We start from the raw sequence: 11026 nt of genomic DNA on the forward strand, positions 1-11026 counted from the left end.
GAATTAACTACAGCCCATCCTAGAGAGAGAATACAAAAAACAGACCAGGAAAATATAAAGTAAAAGTTTAGTGTGTCACTGTAATGAAAGTAGAAAAGAATCAAGTATTGTCTTAAAGACAAAATAAAGTATAGTCAATGTAGATGGATACTCCTAATGATTAGAGCCAGAAATGTAGCTCTTAAAGTCTCAGGCCAGAGAGAGGGAATAAACTAGTGAGAGGTGACAGCTTGCTGGCAGCTCTCACAGCCCTCGCTCGCTCTCGGCACCTCCTCTGCCTGGGCTCCCACTTTGGCGGCACTTGAGGAGCCCTTCAGCCCGCCACTGCACTGTGGGAGCCCCTTCCTGGGCTGGCCGAGGCCAGAGCTGGCTCCCTCAGCTTGCGGGGAGGTGTAGAGGGAGAAGCGCTAGCGGTAACCGGGGCTGCGCGTGGCGCTTGCGGGCCAGCTGGAGTTCTGGGTGGGCGTGGGCTCGGTGGGCCCCACACTCGTAGCAGCCGGCCAGCGCTGCTGCCCTGGGCAATGAGGGGCTTAGCACCTGGGCCAGCAGCTGCTATGCTCAATTTCTCTCCAGGCCTTAGCTGCCTTCCCGCGGGGCAGGGCTCGGGACCTGCAGCCCGCCATGCCTGAGCCTCACCCCCACCCCCGCCTCCGTGGGCTCCTGTGCCGCCCAAGCCTCCCCAACGAGCGCCGCCCCCTGCTGCACGGCGCCCATCTATGAAGGTGGAGCTCTCGTGGCCTAATTACTTCCCTAAAGCCCTACCTCTTAATACTGTTGCACTGGAGATTAAGTTTCAATGTGAATTTTGGAGGAACACAAACACTCAAACCATATCATTTACCGTTTTATAAAAATGTTCACATAATATTGTTTTATAAAAAAAATAAAGATTTAGGCTGGGCATGGTGGCTCACGCCTGCAATCCCAGCACTTTGGGAGGCTGAGGCGGGTGGATCACTTGAGGTCAGCAGTTTGAGACCAGCCTGGCCAACATGGTGAAACCCCCTCTTTACTAAAAAATACTATTAACTGTGGACATCAAGTCTGAAAATAGCCATTATTAAAAACCTGATGAAAGTCTATTATAATAGTGATGCAATTGACAAAAAAATTTGGTTATTTCTGAACCAACATTGTGACTGATAGTATTTATACCAAGACATATCAGAGTTCTAGGAATGTTATACAATTTCGGAACACACATTAATAATATATCCATGTAAATATAACTCAGAGAAGATTAACCATCATTCCTTATTTAGACAGTGCTTCTCATATAAATGAACATATCAGATAAGCTGATGGTGTAATATCTCTTTTACAACTACTTTCAGAAGTTCTAGGGCTTGTCATAATATCCCAAAGTTACTTCAAGGTCAAAAATACTTAATTTTGATATTTGAGAAGTTTGTCAACTATCAGTGGTCTAGAATACTTGATCAAAATAGGATCACAGGTCACTATGAAATAAAATGGAAGTGACAAAAGATTTCACAGGCACAAAGCCCACGAAATTATCTTGATTAAACACAGAATCTCTGTTCCCTAGGCCAGTTACCTAAAAGGTAAAGAAAAACCTCGCACAATTTCCTTTTAAAAACAGCTTAATGTTCTGAGAAAACCCAGTTATTCCAACACAGGAGCCCAAAACCTTGCCTTCACCAGCGCATTTTTTATTAATCGTCAATTTTTGGCAAAACTTTGTATTATTTATAATTAGCTTCTATTTTAGGCAACTTGATGACACAAAAAATTTCTTTCATGAGATTTCTATTCTGTGAACTTTCTATAACTTGCAGTTTACTTTCCTTTTCCCTATATCATTTTGACCACACAAAGTTCTCTTAAGCAAAAGAAAAAATTACTTTTTTCATCTTTCTTTACCAAAACTACATCTTCATACTTATAACTTTTTTTTTAATCTCTTCTGCTTACCAGTTCATTCCCTGCCTTGTTTGTATTTCCTTCTGTAAACCAAAAATAAAATTCTAAGTCCCCTCAACCATCTGAATGGACTTTCTCCTCAGCCAGCGTTCTTAAAATTGAACCTGAGAGACTGTTTTAGGTCATGATGTGAAGTGGGGGTTGAACAGGCCTCATTATACCTCTTCAGCATTAACATCAACATAGGCTTTAAGTCTGATAAGAAATATTTCACAACCTATTCTCTCTGAAGCCTGCTAACTAAAAGCTTCATCTACATAGTAAAACTTTGGTCTCTACAACCTCTTATCACAACCCAGACATTCCTTTCTATTGGTCACAGTTCTTTAGACAACCTCAACGAATTGTCAACCAGAAAATGTTTAAATTTACCTTAAATTTACTGATAGCCTGGAAGCCCCGCCTTGGAATTGTCCCACCTTCCTGGACCAAACCAATGTATTTCTTAAATGTATGTGATTGACGTCTCATGCCTCCCTAAAATGTATAAAACCAAGCTGCACCCTCACCTCCTTGGGCACATGTTCTCAGGACCTCCTGAGGGCTGTGTCAAGGGCCATGGTTGCTCATATTTGGCTCAGAATAAATCCCTTTAAATATTTTAGAGTTTGACACTTTTTGTCGACACTTCCTAAATCTATATTTTGAAATATCCTTTCAAAAACCTCCAAATTAGATGAAATTTGCTCTTTTAACAAAAATATATTCTCATGTCTTTTTACAATTTCTCTTGCCAAAATGAGAGACAGGACTAGCTGGATTTCCTAGGCCGACTAAGAATCCCTAAGCCTAGCTGGGAAGGTGACCGCATCCACCTTTAAACACGGAGCTTGCAACTTAGCTCACACCCGACCAATCAGAGAGCTCACTAAAATGCGAATTAGGCAAAAACAGGAGGTAAAGAAATAGCCAATCATCTATTGCCTGAGAGCACAGCGGGAGGGACAAGGATCGGGATATAAACCCAGGCATTCGAGCCGGCAACGTCAACCCCTTTCGGTCCCCTCCCCTTGTATGGGAGCTCTGTTTTCACTCTATTTCACTCTATTAAATCTTGCAACTGCACTCTTCTGGTCCGTGTTTGTTATGGCTCGAGCTGAGCTTTTGCTCGCCATTCACCACTGCTGTATTGCAGCTGTCGCAGACCCGCTGCTGACTTCCACCCCTCCGGATCCAGCAGGGTGTCCGCTGTGCTCCTGATCTAGCGAGGTGCCCATTACCACTCCCCATCTGGCTAAAGGCTTGCCATTGTTCCCACATGGCTAAGTGCCTGGGTTCGTACTAATCGAGCTGAACACTAGTCACTGGATTCCACGGTTCTTTTCCATGACCCACGACTTCTAATAGAGCTATAACACTCACCGCATGGCCCAAGATTCCATTCCTTGGAATCCGTGAGGCCAAGAACCCCAGGTCAGAGAACATGAGGCTTGCCACCATCTTGGAAGTGGCCTGTTGCCATTTTGGAAGTGGCCCACCACCATCTTGGGAGCTCTGGGAGCAAGGACCCCCAGTAACAAAAACACACCTTACTTTCCTTGTACACTTTACATACATATATTTTTTTTATTTCTAGTAATTTTAATTACATATTTAATTAAAATTTTGAATTCTTAGTAAGCTTATTTTTTATGAAAATGTAAGAAATGGCAATTTGAACTGTCTTATGCCAATATTTTATGAATATACTGAAGAGAATCAAAATATTTCATCCCAAAATATACTTCTTTGACATGTTTTGAGATGGCTATCCAGACAGCCAACTGAGGCAGGGAAATAGGATCTGGAGGTAGGGAACATAAGGCTGATTCACACTTCAGCCATGACAGGAAATATCCTCTCCATAGGGCACAGGCCAAGTAAATGACTTTGTAACTTCATCCTCTCCATTTACATAGGGCATACCCCAAGTAACCAATGGAATCCTCTAGGGGATATTTAAACTCCCAAAAATTCTGTAATGGGGTCTTTGAGCCCCTATGCTCAGGCCCGCTCCCACACTATGGAGTGTACTTTCATTTTCAATAAAACCCTTCATTCCTTCCTTGCTTTGTTTGTGCGTTTTGTCCAATTCCTTGTTCATGACGCCAAGAACCTGGACATCTTCCACCATTAACACAATGAGCAGAAGTAACCCCACAAAACTCTTTTCTTGTGGAAGATTTTGCATCTATAAAGAATCTGCATTGATGCAACCAAAGTTTCTCTGAAGCCCTTCTTTGTCTAGATCTAGGAAAGATTAACTGAGAGTCTGACACCTTAAAGGTCTATGAAAAATATTTATCATCTATTGTTTCTGATGGCTGCTACCTGTCATGTTTCATCTACATAACAAGACAACCTTTGCCAGCCAGGTCTCCACTTCTCTCCCTCCCATAACCCATCTTGCAGCTATAACCTGATTTACCACCACAACCTGTTTTTGGCTATGCTCCAAGTCCCCATTCTTTCTGTAACCTCGAAATAGTATATAAGCTTCCGTACTCCAATAGGGGGCGGGGGGGAATCACTCTGTGATTCTCTCCACGCAAGCCAATAAATGTGCGTGCCATTTCTCCTATTAATCTCCCTCTTGTGAGTTGATTTTTCAGCAAATCTTCACAGAGTGAAGGAGAGGTCTTCCTTTGGCCCCTACAGTTTATTTCATAATTTCTAGAGGCATGTACTTTCTCATAGAACAAATTTTTAAGTGTTTACTAACAGACCCAAATATATTTTGCTTCTCTATACCACATAAAAGCAAGATGCCAACGTATATAAATTTTAAACATGTGATTAGTAATTAATGTTTTAGTATTCTAACTTATTTAGAAATAACCTGAACATTTAATGACTATTTATTACTTAAGGATTTAAGTTACCAAAAAGATTTCTGAAACTATGAAGAGTTCATTTATAAACATTTGTGCCTAATTTACATATTTAATACCTTTTTGTGATCTATAATGTTTGTGATCCTAAATGTCTCAAAATGGAGTCACTTATGACAAGTGACTCAGCTGATAGTGAAACTACTGAGCTCTGAGAGTGATAAGCATATGTATGGTGGAATGAGGTGATAAGATGACACTTGCTGTGGCCAGACACTGTTAGGGGTGGCGAATATTCGTTACTGACAGCTAATCCATACTGGTCTGCAGCAACTGCAGTTCCTGCCTACTCAGAAGAAAGAATTTGACTGAGGGGCATAAGGCAGAAGAAGAGACTGAGGCAAGTTTTAGAGCAGGAGTAGAAGTTTGTTAAAAAGCTCTAGAGCAGGAGTAGAAGTTTGTTAAAAAGCTCTAGAGCAGGAACGAAAGAAAGGAAAGGACACTTGGAAGGGGCCCCAATGGGCAACTTGAAAGACAAGTGCAGCATTTGACCTTTTGACTTGTATATGCTGGACTACTTTTGGTGTCTTGCATCCCTTTCCCTTTATTCTTCCTTTAGGGTGGGCTACCCACATGTACAGTGCCCTCATTGCACTTGGGAGGTGAGCATGTGCAGTGTGTTTACTGCAGTTGTACACATGCTCAACAGAGGCTTTCTTCCCTTTTCCAGTGGAATGCCCCCAGAAGGTCATACTCTGCCTTTTTGTCTCTTAATGTGCATGCCCAGGCTCACTTGCCCAATACCTGAGATTTTACTGGAAGCTGCTGATTACCAATTTCAAGTGTTTTTATCTATTGGGAAATTGCCTCTCCCTGGCACCTGTGACCAATTACATTTTAATGTGACAACTGCTGGATCATCAGGAAATTGCCTCTCCCTGGTGCCTGTGACCAATTCTCATTTTTAGAGAGGCAGTGTGACAACTGCCGAATCATCACCTGATGGTCACCTGACATTTCTGGTGCAGGGGTGGGGAGCCCTCTCCTGCCCCACTCATGCCTGACTAGCTACCTGCTGTAACAAGACTTGACAAGACAGTGAAGCCAAAAGGTAGCTGAAGAAGATGGGTATGGATACTGGACACTTTTACAGAGGACCATAAAACCCACAAAGAAACGGACCACGACAGAGACACCTGTAGAAACTCTGCCTGTGAGAACTCAGAGGCCTCTTTTCCATCCATTGCAGTTACCGGAAGCACTGCTGAGAGAAAAGAAGCATCCCCCCCGCCCCCTCCCAGTCAGTAGGCTGGTCTCCTGAACTACTTGCTGTGTTCCTTCTCTCTGTCTATAACTGTCTGTGTCTTTGAATATATTTGCGTGATTGGTGGTGTGTGAACGCCTTGGAGTAAACTATGAATTTGTAGGAATTTAATTAGTCACTGAGTCATTTTGAAACATTCCCCTCACCACCCTCATAAGAATTTGCCCAACCAGACTGATTTGACCTGACACAAGATCATGAAAATTCTATGAGACATTGAATAAAACTAACCACCATCTCCAGTTATTCTGTTAATCATTTTTACAGCATAAAAATGTTAGGCATTGGCCACTTAATCAAAAATCCGAAAGTTAAATACATGGGTATTTTTGCTGATCAGAAGACACAATTGTTTCCAGTCTTATTTACCAAAAATTTACTCAAGTCACATAAGCCAAAAGGTATTTGAGTTAGGTTCTATTTTTTGATAAAATATTTGATTTAAGCACTTTTTCTTTAAGTCAATCAGTCAGAGTCTCTTACACATTTTGGTTGAGAAATATTACATAAGCATAACACACATAGGCGTGGAAAAAGAAGCAGATTTTATAGCTTTATTAAGATTCTTCCTTTGCCAGTTTTGAAATACTTTCCCCCCTTTAGCCCATCAAACTTTCAATCACCCATTCCGTTGCCCGAAGCAATTGTTAGCCAGGCAACTCTACAATTTGCACTTCCAAAAAAAAAGATGACTTTCAGATAAAACAAGACAATTTACAGTACTTAGAACAATATAGAAACTTCATTAATAGAAACCCTATTATTTGTCAAAACAAAAAAAGGCATAGGTAAACCTCCAATTAAGACAAGATGGCTAGAAAAGGCACCTTAAACATTGGTAAGACTGTTAACGTAAACTAAGCCACCACCTTTCCCGTTGTTAAAGTTTCTAGTGGTTTAGGTGCAGAAAGGGAGACAACCTTACTAATGGGGATTTCCTTTACAGATGCAAATTTCTTTTACAGAGAGTTTCAAAATAGCCAATTAAATGTCATAAAGTTGTATTTTATTTTATGTATATTTTTAGAGACGTCTCTCTCTGTCACCCAGGCTGTAGCGTACTATCACCATCAAAGCTCACTGCAGCCTAAAACTCATGGGCTCAAGCAATCCTCCCACTGCAGCCTCCCAAGCAACTGGGACTACAGGTGCAGGCCACCAAGTGTGGCTAATTTTTTTTTTTAGGGAGGGGGTCTGCCTATGTTGCCCAGGCTGGCCTTGAACTCCTGGCCTCAAGTGATCCTCCCACCTTAGCCTCCCAAAGCACTGGGATTATGGGTATGAGCCACTGAGCCCGACCAGTTGTAAAGATTTCATTTCATAGTTAGTCTTTTCAATTTAGATTTTTTGTTAATTTGATTACTGACTTCAGGGAAGAGCCCTTTAATGAAAAGGACAAAAAATAACTGGTAGAAACTTAACCCTGAGTATTCCTTGGGGGCCTATAAATCCTGGTGTTAACATGAAGATTATTATCAGAGGGAGTGGGCAGCCTGTTTTCAGGGGCTTTCTTGGAAATCTTTGGGGGCACTCCCTTTTTCAGTGTCCTAGTTGTTTGCACAAATGGCAACAATACTTCAGAAACTGCTGTTTCAGGGGTCCCTTATTGGAGAAGTGCTCTAGGACAAGTCTAGAAGTCATTCTAGGTTGTTGGTTGCCATGGAGCTGAAACACTTTGGGAATGGCTTTCAAAAGGTCATCTGAGTCTTTCTGGCTTTGCCTGGCCCATAAGTAGACCAGATGGGGCTTGTGAGGTCCTTGATATTGACAGAGCAGGAGCACCATCATCTCAGACAAACACTGCCATTTTAAGTTCCAGCTCCTTTTCCAGCCTCATGCATTTCAAGGAAATCACTTTTCTTCTAACTACAAGCAGCCAGAAAGAGCAGACAGTAAAATACAGATAAGACAGCTCGGGCACAGAGGGAGGTGGGAGGAAAGTCTCTTGGGTAACTGCCAAACTTCACCCTCATACAATGGGCCCCAGTAAAATAGTGGGCCTTAATAAGCACATTCCTTTCCCTTTGGGTACACTAAGATAAGGAAGCTAAAAGCAGACTCAGGGAGGCGGCGGGGGGTATGCCTGCAGCTGCAGAAAGATATATGGGAACAGACACACAATTGTCCCTCCCAGATAAGCACAACAAAGAGACACAGAAGCAGTCCAAGCCTCTGATAAACTTTCCCACCCTGAATCCTTGAAAACTCTTAGTCTGTAAGAGAGTGTGCCTCTGACCTAACTTGGCCAGACACCCTTCTCAGATTTGTTTTCTCTAAAATAAACTTTTTGTGTTTCTTTCCTCTTTCTTTAATTCTTACAGATACCATTCTCAAGAGATTATTCTACCTCTTTTACCTTTTTGGGTCTCCCCAGGTCCCACCAAATGTATTAGGTGGTAGAGGTCAAGTATCATAAGGCATCATAAATTACAATTAAGGGCCGGGCGCGGTGGCTTACACCTGCAATCCTAGCACTTTGGGAGGCCAAGGTGGGTTGATCACTTGAGGTCAGGAGTTGGAGACCAGCCTGCCCAACATGGTGAAACCCCTTCTCTACTAAAAATATAAACATTAGCTGGGTGTGGTGGCACACGCCTATAATCCCAGCTACTCTGGGGGCTGAGGCACGAGAATCCCCTGAACCTGGGAGGCAGAGGCTGCAGTGAGCTGAGATAGTGCCACTACACTCCAGCCTGGGCACAGAGTGAGATTCTGTTTAAGAAAAAAGTTACAATTAAGACTTTGAATTTTGTTTTGTCAGGCACAGTGGCTCATGCCTGTAATCCCAGCAACCTCAGGAGGATTGCTTGAGCCCAAGAGTTTGAGGCTGCAGTGAGCTATGATCAGGCCATTGTACTCCAGCCTGCTGAGTGACTGAGCAAGACTTTGTCTCTAAGACTCTGGCCTGAATTCTTCAGAAAACTTTTGAAGATCTTAGGAATTTTTTTTTTTTTTTTTGAGATGGAGTCTTGCTCTGTCGCCCAGGCTGGAGTGCAGTGGTGTGATCTCGGCTCACTGCAAGCTCCGCCTCCTGGGTTCATGCCATTTTCCTGCCTCAGCCTCCTGAGTAGCTGGGACTACAGGTGCCCACCACCGCGCCCGGCTAATCTTTTGTATTTTTAGTAGGGACGGGGTTTCACGGTGTTAGCCAGGATGGTCTCGATCTCCTGACCTCGTGATCCGTCCACCTCGGCCTCCCAAAGTGCTGGGATTACAGGCTTGAGCCACTGCGGCCGGCTGAGTTTGGAAATTTTTAAACTGTGGTCCTGGCCTCCATTTTTTGTCCAGAAAGTATAATCAAATAGTGGACTATCTCCAGAATTTTGGAGTGTTTCTACCTTATAAGGAAACTGTTTAACTTTCCTTTTTTTTTTTTTTTGAGACAGAGTTTTGTTCTTGTAGCCAAGGCTGGAATGCAATAGCAGGATCTCAGCTTGCTGCAATCTCTGCCTCCCAGGTTCAAGCGATTCTCCTGCCTCAGCCTCCAAAGTAGCTGGGATTACAAGCTTATGACACTATGCACTGCTAATTTTTGTATTTTTAGTAGAGACGGGGTTTCACCATGTTGACCAGGCTAGTCTCGAATTCCTGACCTCAGATGATCCACCCGCCTCAACCTCCCAAGGTGCTGGGGTTACAGGCATGAGGCACTGCGCGCCCAGCCGAACTTTCCTTTTTTTTCAGAAAGGAAATGCAATTCAGACACTGAATTGTTTAGTACACTGGGAATATTCCAGGCAACGTAAATTAAAGGGAAGCACTAAGAGTTAGGTAAGTTTTACGGTCCTTTATATAGGGGATATCTTGCATTTTTAGCTTTTTACTAACTTTTTGCAATTAGTCTTTTAGAAAAGCTATTTTAGAGTCCTGTTGTCTACTCCAACCTTCTACATGCCAATAGGAATTCCATTTTCTCTGCCTTCAAGAGGCTGAGAATTCAAGTACACTTTCTTAGATTGCATTCCACATAATGGCCATCATAATACTAGATTATCGATTATCTTTAGTAAAATTTTGTCACTTTTGTAAAAATTTGTTGCTTCTGGGGCCAGAAATTTTTTATTTATTTTTTTTTATTGATCATTCTTGGGTGTTTCTTGCAGAGGGGGATTTGGCAGGGTCATAGGACAATAGTGGAGGGAAGGTCAGCAGATAAACAAGTGAACAAAGGTCTCTGGTTTTCCTAGGCAGAGGACCCTGTGGCCTTCCGCAGTGTTTGTGTCCCTGGGTACTTGAGATTAGGGAGTGGTGATGACTCTTAACCAGCATGCTGCCTTCAAGCATCTGTTTAACAAAGCACATCTTGCACCGCCCTTAATCCATTTAACCCTGAGTTGACACAGCACATGTTTCAGAGAGCACAGGGTTGGGGGTAAGGTCATAGATCAACAGGATCCCAAGGCAGAAGAATTTTTCTTAGTACAGAACAAAATGAAAAGTCTCCCATGTCTACTTCTTTCTACACAGACACAGCAACCATGCGATTTCTCAATCTTTTCCCCACCTTTCCCCCTTTTCTATTCCACAAAACCGCCATTGTCGTCATGGCCCGTTCTCAATGAGCTGTTGGGTACACCTCCCAGACAGGGTGGTGGCCGGGCAGAGGGGCTCCTCACTTCCCAGTAGGGGTGGCCGGGCAGAGGTGCCCCTCACCTCCCGGATGGGGCGGCTGGCCGGGCGGGGGCTGACCCCCCCACCTCCCTCCCGGACGGGGCGGCTGGCCGGGCAGGGGGCTGACCCCCTACCTCCCTCCCGGATGGGGCGGCTGGCCGGGCGAGGGGCTGACCCCCCACCTCCCTCCTGGACGGGGTGGCTGCCGGGCAGAGACGCTCCTCACTTCCCAGACAGGGTGGCTGCCGGGCGGAGGGTCTCCTCACTTCTCAGACGGGGCAGCTGCCAGGCGGAGGGGCTCCTCACTTCTCAGACGGGGCGGCCGGGCAGAGATGCT

At 43.8% G+C, this 11026-nt stretch overlaps 1 annotated feature.

Moving 5' to 3' along the window:
• Positions 10068–10737: an enhancer, noted in NCBI's record as "NANOG-H3K27ac-H3K4me1 hESC enhancer chrX:102358711-102359380 (GRCh37/hg19 assembly coordinates)". NCBI's record gives its function as "activates a minimal SCP1, AML or CMV promoter by ChIP-STARR-seq in primed H9 embryonic stem cells {active_cell/tissue: H9 hESC(primed)}" and the evidence as "EXISTENCE:reporter gene assay evidence [ECO:0000049][PMID:30033119]".

The sequence above is a fragment of the Homo sapiens genome, chromosome X, assembly GCF_000001405.40.
Source record: "Homo sapiens chromosome X, GRCh38.p14 Primary Assembly".
NCBI classification, from domain to species: domain Eukaryota; kingdom Metazoa; phylum Chordata; class Mammalia; order Primates; family Hominidae; genus Homo; species Homo sapiens.